Source organism: Homo sapiens, chromosome X (assembly GCF_000001405.40).
Source record: "Homo sapiens chromosome X, GRCh38.p14 Primary Assembly".
Classification (NCBI taxonomy): Eukaryota; Metazoa; Chordata; class Mammalia; order Primates; family Hominidae; genus Homo; species Homo sapiens.
This window is the reverse complement of record NC_000023.11, coordinates 81310650-81328727: the sequence shown is the minus strand read 5'-3', so window position 1 is coordinate 81328727 and position 18078 is coordinate 81310650. Positions and strand designations below refer to the sequence as shown.

General features: G+C 36.5%; 1 long non-coding RNA gene across 1 annotated transcript; it reads right to left on the bottom strand.

The window, feature by feature from the left end:
• Positions 1-451: 451 nt before the first annotated feature.
• On the bottom strand, positions 452-9644 carry LOC124905203 (uncharacterized). Its single transcript, XR_007068279.1, has 3 exons — positions 9543-9644; positions 9056-9130; positions 452-4152 (listed from the first exon to the last, which is right to left on the bottom strand). It is a non-coding gene; the product is annotated as an uncharacterized LOC124905203 (long non-coding RNA).
• Positions 9645-18078: the final 8434 nt, after the last annotated feature.

Here is an 18078-nt window from a genome sequence, read left to right as displayed (position 1 = left end):
TCATATTCTTCTCACATACGTCATTTCATCTCAGTAGTCTCAAAAGTCTTAACTTGTCCCAGCATTAACTCTAAAGTCCAAAATCCAGTCTCATTGAAGACTCAGGCAAGTTCCTTTCAGCTATGAGCCTATAAAATAAAAAGCAAGTTATTTACTTCCAAGATATAATGGTGGGACAGATATTTGGTAGACTTTCCCATTCCAAAAGGGAGAAATAGGCCAAAAAAAAAAAAAAAATAAGCCCCATGTAAATCTGAAACCCAGCAGGGCAGACATGCAGAATTAAATCCTTTTTTTTTTCTTTTTTTGAGACAGAGTCTTGCTCTGTCACCCAGACTGGAGTGCAGTGGCACGATCATGGCTCACTGCAGCCTCAATCTCCTGGACCCTACTGACCCTCCTACCTCAGCATCTTAAGTAGCTAGGATCACAGGTGTGTGCCACCATGCCAGGCTAATTTGTTTTACTTTTCACAGAGACAGGGTCTCCCTATGTTGCCCAGGAAGGTCTTGAACTCCTGGGCGCATGTGACCCTATTGCCTTGGCCTTTCTAACTGCTGGGATTATATTACATCTTAAAGCTCCAGAACAATCTCCTTTGACATCGATGTCCTACATCTTGGGCACACTGGTGTGAGGGGTGGGCTCCCAAGACCCTCGGAAGACCTGCCCACATAGGTTTCCAGGATGTAGCCCACGTGGCTGCTCTCACAAGTTGGAGTTGAATGCCTGTGACTTTTCCTAGCTGGTATTGCACACTGCCTGTGGCTCTACTATTCTGGGGGCCCAGTGGTGGCTCTGCCCCTATGGCTCCACTAGGTAGTGCCCTAGTAGTGATTTCCTGCGGTGGCTCCACCCTGTAGCAAGTTTCTGGATGGGCTCCCAGGCTTTCAGATATATCCTCTGAAATCTAGGTGGAAGCCACCTAGCCTCCATGACTCTTGTATTCTAGGCACTTGTAGACTTAGTACCATATGGAAACCATCAAGACTTACTACTTTGGCCCTCTGGAGCAGTGGTCTGAGCCATACCTGAGGCTGTTAAAGTGATGACTGATCTACCCAGATGGGTTGAGATTTGGGGAGCAGCATCCTGAGTTGATGTAAGGCAGTAGTGCCCCAGGTTCATCCTAGAAAACCATTCTGCCCTTCCAGGCCTCTGGGCTTGTGTTGGAAAGGACAGCCATGAAGATCTTCAAATGCCGGTGTAGCCTTCTAATTGTTTTGACTATTTGCACCTGTCTCCCTTTTAGCCCTGCTAACTTCTTTAGCAATCCGTTGCTCAGCCAGTCTTGATTCCTCTCCTTAAAATTCCCTTTTATTCTCTACCACAAGGCCAGGCTATGAAATTTCCAAATTTTTATGATCTGCTTCATTTTTAATTATAAATTCTGGCTCTTAGGTCATTCCTTTGATGCCTTAACTAATCATAAGCTATTAAAAGTAACCACACTAATTCTTGAGCACTTTGCTGCTTAGAAATTTCTTCCATCAGACATGCTAGGTCATTATTCTTAGGTTTGGCCTTCCACAAAGCTGTAGAGCATAGACATAATGCAGCCAAATTCTTTGCAACTTTATAACAAGAGTGACCTTTGTTCTACTTTTCAAATAAATACTCATTTTCATCTGAAATCTCATCAGAATATCCTTTACTGTCTAATTTTAGTCACTACCACTTACCCAATCTCTAAAAAGTTGCAAACTTTCCCTCATTTTTTTAGTCTTCTTTTGAGTACTTACCAAAAGCACCCTAATGCTCCCATTGCTGCAATACCATCTCCTTCTAGCCTGCTCTTTCAAACTCTTCCAACTTCTGCCCTTTACCCAGTTCAAAGCCACTTCCCCATTTGCAGGTATCTTTATAGTAACAATCCACTCCTTGGTACCAATTTTATGCCTTAGTCAATTTAGTGTTGCTGTAACAGAATACCTGAGGCTGAGTAATATATAATGAAAAGAGGTTTATTTACTTCACAGTTCCGCATGATGGGAAGTTCAAGGGCATAGCTCTGGCTTCTGATGAGGGATTTCATACTACGTGGTCATAACGTGGCAGAGAAGGTCAAAGGGGAAATAGACACGTACAAAGAGGCAAAACCCAAAGGGCATTATGGCTTTATTAACAGCCCACTTTTGAGGTAATGAACTCATTTCCATGAGAACTAAACTAATCCATTACCATAAGAAATAATTCAATCTCACCAGAGAGAAAACTCATTGACTACTGTCAGAATGGCACTAAGCCCTTCATGATGGGTCATCCCTCATGATCCAAACACCTCTCACTAGTCACCATTTCTCAACACTGCCACATTGGAGGCCAAATTTCAAGATCAGTTTTGGTAGGAACAAACAAACCATATCCAAACCACAGCAATCAGTTTCTAAAAGTAGGCATAATGTGTTGTTCATAATAGTATTCTCATTCTCTAACAAAGTGCCTGCTACATAGTATACAATTAAAAATATGGGTCAAATCAGTGAATAATTATAATTACTATTGACAGTAGCACTTTACAACTTAAACATTACAAAATGTAGAGAATTTGATTTTAAGACTGAGTTTTTTGATGACCCAGAATGTCTTCTGCCTTAATTATACATTCCCAAAGCATAGCATCGTGGCAGATACATTGTAGGAAACAACAAAAAAAAAGTAGAATTGAGTTGAAATGTCCATTGGCCATTAACCATGTAGACTGTTGTCCCATTTGCTGAGGAGTCAGTCATTAAACCAGATGTTAATTTGTGTTTTTCCCACCTCCACTCCAAGCTAGTTATTATAAATTTAATAAACACATGCTTCCCCAAATCTTCTGCTTAACACTTTACTAACACTTAGAGAGATGTGAAATAGAGAAATGTGATCTGTATATATTTCCAATATATATAGTAAAAAAACTGAAAGGAAATAAAACTATCCACTATTTCGTTCAAGTATCATCAACATAAACAAACCTGTTTGATTATTTTAACTGACTTCACCTCTTCAAGCCAGTCCAGAAACTGTCAGTCCAATTCTTCATTTGACTTATTTTTATTGATGGAGCTGATAAAACCAATATAAGTATCAAAATGCTTTGTGAATAAAGAGTTAGATTAAAATTATACAAGATAAACAGTTGAGGTAAAATCTGTACCTTCTCTGATTTGTTTATCTAAGTTACTTGTTTGTAGTATTTGCCTTAAAATTCTATTTCAAAGTTTAGACTTCCTGCTGCCACAGAAACTGCAGCATTCAGTAAGACCAGGATGTAATTTTTAAATTCAAGTAAATAAAAAAAGTGTTTGTGCCCAAGAATTTGACTTTATAGTCAGTGTTCAGGAATGTATTTATTTTATATATGGTCATCTAAAGAGAATTTAGGGGTAGAGAGAAGCAGGGAAAATGGTTCCGTTCAGCCTCACTTTAAGAGGAATGGCAGTGAGTGGCAAAAACACAGATTTTAGAGTTATTAATATTTAGAGAACTGCTATTTCCCAGCTGTGTAACCCTGGAAAGGTTACATAATTTCAGTTTCTCCATCAAAAATGTAGAGATAATAATATCTACAGTATTAGCCAAGGTTCTCCAGATAAACAGATAGATATGTAAATAACTACATATATATAAATCTCTCTCTCTATATATATAAATATCAATATCTATATATCTATGGGTATAGATATATAGGAACAGATAGCTATATTTATGTTCATACATGTTCTATATGCATATCTATGTTCATATAGATATCTATACATCTATAAAGACATGCATCTATGTATCTATGTATATTGATCAATGTCTACATATCAACAAAGATATATATTTATGTAGATATACATAGATATGTATATATTTCTATCTGTATTAAATATATATGTCTATGTATACATATATAGCAAGAGAGAAAGGAAAGAGAGATTCATGTAAGAAATTAATTTAAAAGATACATTTTAAGGAACTGGCTTACACAATTGTGGAGGCTGGCAAGTTTGAAATCTGCAGAGCAAGCTGGCTGGCTGAAAATTCCAGAGTTTACGTTGTAGTCTTGAGTCTGCAAGCAGTCTGGAAGCAGAGTTGCTGCTTCCTCAGTGGGCCTCAACCTTTTTCTCTTAAGGCTTTCACATGATTGAATGAGGTCTGCTCACCTTTATGAAGGGTAATCTGTTTTACAAAGTATATTAATTTAAATGTTAATCATACCTAAAGAACACCTTTACAGGAACGTCTGGACTGGTGTCCAAACTACTAGGCATCATAGTCTAGCTGGCACGTAAAATTAACCCTCGTACCTACTTTTCAGGGCTATTGTGAAGATTAAGTGAAATTATATATGCAGAGTACCTAGCAGAGTGCCCAGAGTAGATGCACAACTTTCATGATGCCCAGTCACAATAACACAATTGGGACTTGGATAAAAAAAGGGAGAAGAGAAAGGTGTTCTATACAAGTTCTATAGCCATTGTACTTTACTCAAAAGTAGGAGAAGGAAAATGAAAGTGCTAAAAACATGTGCCCATTACTGTCTCTCTGCCCCTTCCAATACATTACTCGAGTAGTAGTACAAATTAAAAGCTCAAAGATTTTTAAAATCTCAGTCAGTTAAATGATTTTGTATGTCAAAGCTTTTAAATTTGTACAGGAAATAAGATTTACTTTATTGTAAAAGGCAACCATGCTGAGCTTTTGTAATGGAAGAGTGAGGAACATGGCAGTCTTTGATACAACAAAACAATTCAACAAAGAAAATTATTTAAAACACAAGTTAAATTTCTGGAAGTTTTCCCTAAGGGCATAGAGCAGTACTGTCATAAGGAAATGACAGAAGATGGTAACTCAGTTCCACAGAAATAAATGAAGAGAGCCAAAAGGGTAAAGAAGAATATACATATTATAAAAACTCTATATTTGTGTTCTGCTCTATTCTCATAGTCTCTTTAAAAGACATACTATATAATGTTATAATTAAAACAATGTACTTATGGATTTGTAATATATATAGATGCCATACGTATAATTATAATAGCATGAAAATGGCAAAAGGGGATAGAGTTTATAGGAGTAAATATCTATACTTCACTGAAATTAAGTTAATACAAATCTGAAGGAAATTTTGATAAATTAAAATGTGTATTGTAAGCCCTAGACAGAAACTCTAAGAAAATAACTAAAAATACAATTTTAAAATAATCAACAGAATTAAAAGCTTACACTAAAAATATATTCAATTAACTTAAAAGAATACAGTAAAAAAGGAACAAAAATGACATGAGACAGAAAACGAAAAGCAAAATCACAGATGTCAATCCAACTATATCAATAATAACATTAATGTCACCAGATTGAACAATCCAATCTAAAAGCAGATAACATCACAAAAAAAAAACGACATCCAATTTTATACTTTCTATGACACACACACTAAATTCAAAGATAATAACTGGTTGAAAGCGAAAGGATGAAAAACAACAATAAGATGAATGACTATACTTATACCACAGAAGATAGATTTTAAACTAACAATAAAAGTTATTTATAGAGAAAGAAGGACATTTTATAATGAAGAAAGAGTCAATTCATCAAGAAGATACAACAATTATAAAAACTATATCATTGAAAGCCTTTCCTCTAAGATCGGGAATAAGACAAGGACGCCCACTTTCACAACTGTTATTCAACACAGTACTGGGAGTCCTAGCTTGAGAAATCAGACAAGATAAACAAATAAAAGGCATTTAAATTGGAAATAAAGAAGTCATATTATCCTTGTTTGCAGTTAATATGATCTTAAATTTGGAAAAACCTAAAGATTCCACCAAAAAAAACTATTAGAACTGATGAACAAATTCAGTAAAGTGGCAGAATACAAAATCAACATGCAAAAATCAGTATCATTTCTATATGCCAACAGCAAACAATCTGAAAAAAGAAATTTAAAGTAATCTCATTTACAATAGCTACAAATAAAATAAAGTACATAGTAATAAAATTAACCAAAGTGAAAGACCTCTGTGATGAAAACTATAAAACATTGATGCAAGACATTGAAGAGGACACACACAAAAAATGGAAAGATATTCCATGTCATAGATTGGAAGAATCAATATTGTTAAAATGCCCATACTACCCAAAGCAATCTACAGACTCAATACTAACCCTATCAAAATACCAATGACATCCCTCACAGAAGCAGAAATAAAACCCTAAAATTTATATGGAAGCATAAAAGACTCAGAATTCCCAAAGCTATGCTGAGCAAAAAGAGGAAAACTGGAGGAATCAAATTACCTAACTTCAAATTACAAAGCTATAGTAACCAAAACAGTGTAGTACTGGCATAAAAACAGACACATAAAACAATGGAGCAGATTGGACAACCCAGAAATGAATCCATACAACTAAAGTGAACTCATTTTTTTTCATTATTTAGATCATATTTGTTCGTATAATGAAACTCATGTAGATAAGATCTCACATACTTAATACAGTGAATTACCCCCATACAATGGAAAAAATTATATTTAATGTTCCTAGATCAATATGACTGTTAATTTCTGCACAATGCCAACTCAACACGATAAAATGTAATACATTTTCCAAAGCTGAGAGCACAGCTAAACTTTCAAAAAATACAAATATATATATATAATATACAAATATAGATTTATAGATCAATAATAACTGTTATGCATAGTAGCAGCAACAGCTTTTCCAGGTTCTGTAATCATCTGAACACAATTATAGAGACATCTAGCAAACCCCATTTAAAAAGGGAGAAAAGGTAAAAAACAAAACCCCAGAAAATAGCAATGTTCTGTTTTTCTTGTGGTACTTGGCACTATTTTTTAAATTAGCTTCTGAATCATCATCTGGAAAAAAAATTCTGGAATAATATCACTAAACACAGATCTGATGAAGCACTGTCACTACTATGTATCATAAAGCAGGAACAAGATATTTCACATTCACAGAGGTATCATACAGTACTCTCCTACATCTATAATACTACAGGATACAATTAAAAAGGCATTATTTGAGGCTTGACTCTACCTTTCCAGCAGAGAGCCCAAAGGATGGTATGACAGCTCGGTAAAGAAAGAGGAAGTCAAATTGTCCCTGTTTGCAGATGACATGATTGTATATCTAGAAAACCCCATTGTCTCAGCCCAAGATCTCCTTAAGCCGATAAGCAACTTCAGGAAAGTCTCAGGATACAAAATAAATATGCAAAAATCACAAGCATTCTTATACACCAATAACAGACAAACAGAGAGCCAAATCATGAGTGAACTCCCATTCACAATTGCTTCAAAGAGAATAAAATACCTAGGAATCCAACTTACAAGGGATGTGAAGGACCTCTTCAAGGAGAACTACAAACCACTGCTCAATGAAATAAAAGAGGACACAAATGGAAAAACATTCCATGCTCATGGATAGGAAGAATCAATGTCGTGAAAATGGCCATACTGCCCAAGGTAGTTTATAGATTCAATGTCATCCCCATCAAGCTACCAATAACTTTCTTCACAGAATTGGAAAAAACTACTTTAAAGTTCATATGGAACCAAAAAAGAGCCCTCATTGCCAAGTCAATCCTAAGCCAAAAGAACAAAGCGGGAGGCATCATGCTACCTGACTTCAAACTATACTACACGGCTACAGTAACCAAAACAGCTCAGTACTGGTACCAAAACAGAGATATAGACCAATGGAACAGAACAGAGCCCTCAGAAATAATACCACACATCTACAACCATCTGATCTTTGACAAACCTGACAAAAACAAGAAATGGGGAAAGGATTCCCTATTTAATAAATGGTGCTGGGAAAACTGCCTAGCCATATGTAGAAAGCTGAAACTGGATCGTTTTTTTACACCTTATGCAAAAATTAATTCAAGATGGATTAAAGACTTAAATGTTAGACCTAAAACCATAAAATCCCTAGAAGAAAACCTAGGCAATACCATTCAGGACATAGACATGGGCAAGGACTTCATGTCTAAAACACTGAAAGCAATGGCAACAAAAGCCAAAATTGACAAATGGGATCTAATGAAACTAAAGAGCTTCTGCACAGCAAAAGAAACCACCATCAGAGTGAACAGGCAACCTACAGAATGGGAGAAAATTTTTGCAATCTACTCAGCTGACAAAGGGCTAATATCCAGAATCTACAAAGAACTCAAACAAATTTACAAGAAAAAAACAAACAACCCCATCAAAAAGTGGGTGAAGGTCATGAACAGACACTTCTCAAAAGAAGACATTTATGTAGCCAACAGACACATGAAAAAATGCTCATCATCACCGGCCATCAGAGAAATACAAATCAAAACCACAATGAGATACCATCTCACACCAGTTAGAATGGCGATCATTAAAAAGTCAGGAAACAACAGGTGCTGGAGAGGATGTAGAGAAATAGGAACACTTTTACACTGTTGGTGGGATTGTAAACTAGTTCAACCATTGTGGAAGACAGTGTGGTTATTCCTCAAGGATCTAGAACTAGAAATACCATTGGACCCAGCCATCCCAGTACTGGGTATATACCCAAAGGATTATAAATCATGCTGCTATAAAGACATGTGCACATGTATGTTTATTGTGGCACTATTCACAATAGCAAAGACTTGGAACCAACCCAAATGTCCAACAATGACAGACTGGATTAAGAAAACGTGGCACATATACACCATGGAATACTATGCAGCTATAAAAAAAGATGAGTTCATGTCCTTTGTAGGGACATGGATGAAGCTGGAAACCATCATTCTCAGCAAACTATTGCAAGGACAGAAAACCAAACACCACAAGTTCTCACTCATAGGTGGGAATTGAACAGTGAGAACACTTGGACACAGGAAGGGGAACATCACACACCAGGGCCTGTTGTGGGGTGGGGGGAGGGGGGAGGGATACCATTAGGAGATATACCTAATGTAAATGACGAGTTAATGGGTGCAGCACACCAACATGGCACATGTATACATATGTAAGAAACCTGCACAATGTGCACATGTACCCTAGAACTTAAAGTATAATAAAAAAAAGAAAGGTACCTTCTTAGACAGCATTTCCTTTCATTAGCTGCACAGTTCTAGTACTCACTATTCTTCATAAACATCAGCTAAAAACTGTTAAAAAAAAAAGAAACAGAGAAAAACAAAACCATTGGATTCATACAAAGATCATAGAATGGAGACAAGCAAGACACAATCTAAATAGTATTTTATCCAATCTGTTGTGTTTAACTGGTCAGAGCTCCGTAGAAGAAAGGAGATTTCAAGTAGCACCTCAAAGCTCTGAAGCACAACCAAAACACAGCATCATTTCAGACCGAAGCAGTAACCAAACATTCCTACTTTGATATGGTTCAAGGATGCTATCATCAATATTGAATCATCTGCTCACTTATCCAGGAAGAAGGGGGGCTTAGTTACTACTGTACTATGATTGTGCTCAATCAACACGTTACAAAAATCAAGCTGCCATAATAATAATAATAAAGGCTCCTATACACAGGACCAATTATCTTCAGTTCTTCACCTCCAAGCATCCAGTGTTTACTTCCACATGTGCTCAATGTTTAGCTAAGACATATAAGTGAAATATGTGGTATTTGGTTTTCTGTTCCTCCATTAGTTCACTTAGGATTGTGGCCTTCAGCTCCATCCATGTTGCCACAAGGGAAGTGATTTCATTCTATTTTATGGCTGCATAGTATTTTATGGTGTATATGTACCACATTTTCTTTATTCAGTCCGAAATTGATAGGCTTCTAGGTTGATTCCATGTCTTTGCCTTTGTAAATGGTATGACAATGAACATAGAAGTAAATGCATCTTTTTAGTATAGTGACCTATTTTCCTTTGGGTTTATACCCAATAATGGGATTGCTGGGTTACATGGTAGATATGTTTTAAGTTCTGTGAGAACTCTCCAAACTGCCTTCCACAGTGGATGAATTAATTTACATTTCTACAACCAACAGTGTCTAAGTGGTGAACTCATTTTCGAGAAAGGTGCCAAAAATGTACAGTCTTTTCAATAAACAGTGCTGGGAAAGCTGAATTTCCATATACAGAAGGGTGAAACTAGACCCCTACCTCTCACTATATACAAAAATCAAATTAAAATGTATTAAAGAATTAAATAAATCTAAAACCTCAACTTATGAAACTACTAAAAGTAAACATTGGGGAAACTCTCCAGGACATTCTGGAGTGGGGAAAAATTTCTTGAGTAATACTGCCACAAGCGCAGGCAACGTAAGAAAAAATTGACAAATTGGATCACATTGAGTTAAAAAGTTTCTGCACAGCAAAGGAAGCAATCATCAAAATTACGAGACAAACCACAGAATGGGAAAAAAAAAAAAAAACCCTGCAAACTCTCCATCTCAGAAGGAATCAATAATCAAAATACATAAGAAACTCAAACAACAATATAGGAAAAAATCTCATAATCCAATTAAAAATTGGGCAAAATATTTGCATAGACATTTCTCAAAAGAAGACATACAAATGGCAAACAGGCATATGAAGAGGTGCTCAACATCACTGATCAACCAAGAAATGCAAATCAAAACTAACTACAATGAGATATCACCTAACCCCAGTTAAAATGACTTTCATCCAAATGTCAGGCAATAACAAATTCTGGCAAGATCGTGGAGAAAAGGGAATCCTTGCACACTGTTGGTGGGAATGTAAATTAGTACTAGCACTATGGAGAACAGTTTGCAGGTTCCTCAAAAGACTAAAAATAGAACTAGCACATGACCCAATAGTCCCACTGTTAGGTCTATACCCAAAAGAGAGCAAGTCAGTATACCAAAGAGATAACTGCACTCCCATGCTTATTACAGCACTATTCACATAGACAAGATTTGCAAGCAACCCAAGTGTCCATCAACAACGAAAGGATAAAGTAAATGTGACACAAATACACAATGGAGTACTATTCAGCCATAAAAGAATGAGATCCTATTATTTGCAGCAACATGGATGGAAATGGAGGACATCACATGAAATAAGCCAGACACAGAAAGATAAACTTCACTTGTTCTCACTTATTTGTGGGAGCTAAACTTTAGAACAACTGAACTCATGGAGACAGAGAGTAGAATGATGGTTACAAGAGGTTGGAAATAGTAGTGGAGGGGGGACTTAGGGATGGTTAATGGGTACAAAAATATAATTAGATAGAATGAATAAGATGTAGTATGTGATAGTACAAGAGGGTGACTACAGTCAACAATAATTTAGTGCACATTTAAAAATAAAAGAGTATAACTGGATTGTCTGTAACAAAAGAAATAAAAGCTTGAGGTGATTGATACCCTATCTACTGATGTGATTATTAAACATTGTATGTCCATATCAAAGTCTCATGTATCCCATAAATATATACACCAACTATATACCCGAAAAAATAAAAATTAAAAAAATGCACCTAATAAAAGAGCCCCACAGTAAATGAAGAAAACAGACTGAATTAAAGTGACAAGTGGCCAACTGAACAATAATAGTTGATGGCTTCAATACCCCATTTTCAATTAGTCATCTTTAGAATGCTCCAGCCACTATCAGAGTACTCATTCTTCTCAAGTGTACACAAAATATTCTGCATGATAGATCACATATTAGGCAATAAAACAAGAATCAGTAAATTTAAACAGACTGGATTCATATGAAATAGGCTATCCAACCACAGTGAAAAGAAATTAGAAAACAAGAACAGAACAAAATTTAGGAAATTCACAAGAAGTAGAAATTTAAAAACACATTCCTGGAGACTCATGGCAGATGGGAGGCAGGACTAGATTGCAGCTCCCACTCAGACAGACAGAGCAGTGTGTGGAGGCTTACATCATAAACTTTTGCTCCATAACAACTGCAGAAATACATTAGTAAAGGCAAGAGAACCCACAGGCCCTCTGAAGAAAGCAGACTGTTCCTGCAGGAATAGGGAGACACCCCAAATACTGGGAAACCTGAAGGTCTATGTTACAGAGATTCTGACCTTACTTGGAGCTGAGTCAATTTAGAGAGCCAAGAGAAATACAGGGTAGAGAAAGGAGTGGGAAAATGCCTGTGGGCTCACTGGGTTCCCTAGAAGCCATTTCTGCCCTGCCTCAGAAGGGTCCTTAGGGAGGGCAGTCAGAGGCACTGGGAAAAGGGCACAGGGAGAAGGAAACCTCTAGCTCAACACTGTTAACAATTTGAACTGATTGAGAAGTCTCCTGGCCAGAACTCAGGGGAGGGCGTGAATCTGGTGTGCAGACTCCACAGGCAGGAGAAGAATGAAAGCCTTAATTGCTTTCGCAACTGGAAGGTGAGTAGTCTGAGGCAAGTTCTCAGCCCTGCTGGCTCAGTGCCTGGAAACAAACTCCGTGTTGTTGGGGGGTGCACGGTGAGAGTGAGACTGGCCCTTTGGGTTGAGTGGGGGCTGGGTGAGGCCTGTGACTGACAGCTTTCCCCCACTTCCCTGACAACATGCATGACAAAGTAAAGGCAGCCGTAATCTTCCTAGGAACATAACTCCATTGATCTGGGAACTTCACCCCCATCACCCACAGCAGCCACAAGAAGACCTGCCCAAGGAGAGTCTCAGCTCGAACATGCCTAGCCCTGTCCCCACCTTATGGTACTTTCTTACCCACCTTGGTAAATGAAGACAAAAGGCATATACTCTTAGGAGTTCTAGGGCCCCACCCACCACATGTTCCTCCCCATACTACTACAGCTGATGCTCTCTTGAAAGTGCCACTTTCCAACAAGAGACCAACCAGCACAAAAATAGTGCAGTAAGCAACCAAAGCTAAGGACTCTCAGAGTCCATCTTGCCCCCCTGTCACCTCCACCGGAATAGGTGCTGGTATCCAGGGCTGAGAGACCCACAGAGAGTTCACATCACAGGACTCTGTGCAGACAAGCCCTAGTACCAACCCAGAGCCTGGTATACTCACTGGGTGGCTAGATCTAGAAGAGAGATAACAATCACTACAGCTTGGCTCCCAGAAAGCCACATCCCTTGGAAAATGGGGAGAATACTACATGAAGGGAACACCCTGTAGGACAAAAGAATCTGAACAACAGCCTTCAGGCCTAGACCTTCCCTCAGACAGTCTACCCAAATGAGAAGGAACCAAAACACCAACTCTGGTAACGTGACTAAACAAGTTTCTTTAACACTACCAAAAAAAATTGCACTAGCTCACCAGCAATGGATCCAAACCATGAAGAAATCCCTGATTTCCCTGAAAAAGAATTTAGAAGGTTAGTTATTAAGCTAATCAGGGAGCCACCAGAAAAAGGTGAAGCCCAATAAAAGGAAATTAAAAACAAACAAACAAACAAGAAGTGAAGGGAGAAATATTCAATGAGATAGCATAAATAAAAAAATCAAAATGTCAGGAAACAATGCACACACTTATTGAAATGCAAAATGCTCTGGAAAGTCTCAGCAATAGAATTCAACAAGCAGAAGAACTTCAGAGGTCGAAGACAAGGTCTTTGAATTAACCAAATCCAACAAAGAAAAAAAAATATGAACAAAGCCTCCAAGAAGTCTGAGATTATGTTGAATGACCAAACTTAAGAAAAAATTGCCATTCTTGAGAAAGAAGAGAAATCTAAAAGTTTGGAAAACATATTTGGGGGAATAATAGAGGAAAACTTCCCCAGCCTTGCTAGAAACCTAGACATATAAATACAAGAAGCACAAAGAATACCTGGGAAATTTATCGCAAAAAAATCATCACCTAGGCACATGGTCATCAGGATATCTAAAGATAAGATTAAAGAAAGAATATTAAGAGCTATCAGGCAAAAGCACCAGGTAACCTATAAAATCTATCAGATTAACAGCAGATTTCTCCGCAGAAACCCTACAAGCTAGAAGGAATTGGGGCCTTATCTTCAGCCTCCTTAAGCAAAACAATTATCAGCCAAGTATTTTGTATCCAGCAAAACTAAGATTCATAAATGAAAGAAAGAAAAAGTCTTTTTCAGACAAACAAATGCTGAGAAAATTTGCCATTAACAAGCAGGTACTACAAGAATTGCTTTAAAAGGAGCTCTAAATCATGAAACAAATCCTGGAAACACATCAAAAAAGGACATTTTAAAAGCATAAATCTCACAAAACCTATAAAGCAAAAATACAACTTAAAACAAAAAAATAAAAAACCAAGGTATACAGGCTACAAATAGCACAATGAATGGAATGGTACCTCACATCTCAATACTAATATTGAATGTAAATGGCCTAAATGCTCCACTTAAAATGTACAGAATTGCAGAATGGATAGGAACTCACCAACCATCTGCTGCCTTCACGAGACTCACCTAACATATAAGGTATCATATACATTTAAGGTAAAAAGGTAGAAACTGACATTCCATGTAAACGGACACAAAAAGTGAGCAGAAGTAGCTATTCTTATATCAGGCAAAACAAAATTTAAAGCAACAGCAGTTAAAAAAGGAAAAGTCGGACATAACATAATGATAAAAGGCCTTGCCCAACAGGAAACTATCACAATCCTACACACATATGCACCTAACACTGGAGCTCCCAAATTTATAAAACAATTACTAATAGACCTAAGAAATGAGATAGACAGTAAGACAGTAATAATAGTGGGGGACTTCAATACTCCACTGACAGCAATAGACAAGTCATCAAGACAGAAAGGCAACAAAAACAAAAAAAAAAACGGATTTAAACTATACACTGAAACAAATAGACTTAACAAATATATACACTACATTCTATCTAACAACTGGACAATATACATTCTGTTCAATAGTGCATGGAAACTTCTCCAAGATAGACCATATGATAGGCCACAAAATGAGCCTCAGTAGATAAAAGAAAATTGAAATTATATCAAGCACTCTCTCAAACCACAGTGAAATAAAACTGGAAATCAACTCAAAAAGGAACCTTCGAAACCATGAAAATACATGGAAATTAAATAACCTGCTCCTGAATAATTATTGGGTCAAAAATGAAATCATGATGGAAATTACAAAATTCTTTGAACTGAATGATAATAGTGAAATAACCTATCAAAATCTCTGTGATACAGCAAAGGTGGTGCTAAAAGGTAAGTTCATAGCCCTAAATGCTTACATCAAAAAGTCTAAAAGAGCATAAACAGAATCCTAAGGAATTTAGATTCTCAAGGAATCTAGAGGACACCTCCAGGAACTGGAGAAACAAGAACAAACCAAATTCAAACCCAGCAGAAAAGAAATAACAAAGATCAGAGCAGAGCTAAATGAAACTGAAAAAAAAAAAAAAACCGCAAAAGATAAATGAAACAAAAAGCTGGTTCTTGGAAAAGATAAATAAAATTTATAGACCATTAGCAAGATTAACCAAGAAAAGAAGAGAGAAAATCCAAATAAGCTCAATTAGAAATGAAACAAGAGATATTACAAATGACACCACAGAAATACAAAAGTCCATTCAAGGCTACTATGAACACCTTTATGCACATGAACTAGAAAACCTACAGGAGATGGAAAAATTGCTGGAACGACACAACCTTCCTAGCTTAAATCAGGAAGAAACAGACACTCTGAAAACACCAATAACAAGCAGCAAGATTGAAATGGTAATTACAAAATTACCAAAAAAAAAAAAAACAAAAAAAAAGGCCAGGACCAGAAAGATTCACAGCAGAATTCTACCAGACATTTGAAGAAGAACTGGTACCAATCCTATTGACACTATTCCACAGGATAGAGAGAAAACCCTCCCTAAATCATTTTATGAAGTCAGTATCACCCTAATACAGAAATCGGGAAAAGGCATAACCAAAAACAAACAAACAAACAAACAAAACAAAACAAAAAAACAACTGCAGACCAATATCCTTGATTAACGTACATGGTAAAATCCTAAAGAAAAAAACTAGGTAAACGAATCCAATAACATATCAAAAAGTTAACACATCATGATCAAGTGGATGTCATACCAGGGATGCAGGGACAGTTTAACATACACAAGTCAATAAATGTGATACCCCACATAAACAGAATTAAAAACAAAAATCACATGATCATATCAACAGATGCAAAAAAAGGATTCAACAAAATCCAGCTTCCTTTATGATTAAAACTCCCAGCAAAATCAGCATATAAGGTACATCAATGTAATAAAAGCCATCTAGGACAAACCCACAGCCAACATAATACTGAATGGGGAAAAGTTGAAAGCATTCCCTCTAAAAACTGGAACAAGACAAGGATGCCCACTCTCACCACTCCTCTTCAACATAGTGCTGGAAGTCCTAGCCAGAACAATCAGACAAGAGAAAGAAATAAAGGGCATCCAAATCAGTAAAGAGAAAGTCAAACTGTTGCTGTTTGCTGATTATATGATTGTTTACCTAGAAAACCCTAAAGACTCTTCCAGAAAGCTCCTGAAACTGATTTTAAAAATTCAGCAAAGTTTCTGGATACAAATTTCATGTACACAAATCAGTAACTCTTCTATACACCAACAGTGACAAAGCTGAGAATCAGATCAAGAACTCAATCCCCTTTACAATAGTTGCAAAAAAATAAAATAAAATACTCAGGAATATACCTAACCAAGGTTGTTAAAGACCTCTACAAGGAAAACTACAAAACCCTGCTGAAAAAAATCATAGATGACAGAAACAAATGAAAACACATCCCATGCTCATGGATGGGTAGAATCAATATTGTGAAAATGACCATACTGCCAAAAGCAATCTACAAATTCATCACAATTCCCATCAAAATACCACCCTCATTCTTCACAGAATTAAAAAAAACACAATCCTACAATTCATATGGAACCAAAGAAGAGCCTGTATAGCCAAAGAAAGACTAAGCAAAAAGAACAAATCTGGAGGCATCACATTACCTGATTTCAAACTATACTATAGAGCCATAGTCACAAAAACAACATGGTACTGGTATAAAAATGGCCACATTGACCAATGGAACAGAAAAGAGAACCCAGAAATAAACCGAAATACTTACAGCCAACTTATCTTTGACAAAGCAAACAAAAAGATAAAGTAGGGCAAGAACACCCCTTTCAACAAATGGTGCTGGGATAATTGGCTAGCCACATGTAGGAGAATGAAACTGGATCCTCATCTCTCATTTTATATAAAAAAAATCAACTCAAGATGGATCAAGGACTTAAATCTAAGACCAGAAACTATAAAAATTCTGGAAGATAACATTGGAAAAACCCTTCTAGAAATTGGCTTAGGCAAGGATTTCATGACCAAGAACCCAAAAGCAAATGCAATAAAAACAAAGATAGATAAATACCTGGGACTTAACTAAAGAGCTTTTGTATGGCAAAAGGAAGAGTCAGTAGAGTAAACAGACAACTCACAGAGTTGAGAAAATCTTCACAATCTATACATCTGAAAAATGACTAATATCCAGAATGCATAATTAACTCAAACAAATCAGAAACAAACAAACAAACAAATGATTCCATCAAAAAGTGGGCTAAGGACATGAATAGACAATTCTCAAAAGAAGATATACAAATGGCCAACAAACATATAAAAAAATGCTCAACATCACTAATGATCAGGGAAATGCAAATCAAAACCACAATGTGATACTACCTGATTCCTGCAAGAATGGCCATCATCAAAAAATAAAAAAAGAAACACAGATGTTGGCATGGATGTGGTGATCAGGGAACACCTCTGTAAACTAGTATAGTCACTATAGAAAACAGTGTGGAAATTCCTTAAAGAACTAACAGTAGAACTACCATTTGATCCAGCAATCCCACTACTGGGTATCTACCCAGGGGAAAATAAGTCATTATACGAAAAAGATACTTGCACATGCATGTTTATAGCAGCACAATTCACAACTGCAAAAACGTGGAACCAACCCAATGCCCATCAATCAACGAGTGAATAAAGAAGCTGTGATTTATATATATATATATATAAAAACATATATATACGTGTATTTTATATATATACACACATATATACATATATACGTATATACGTATATATGTACGTATATACGTATATACATATATACGTATATACGTA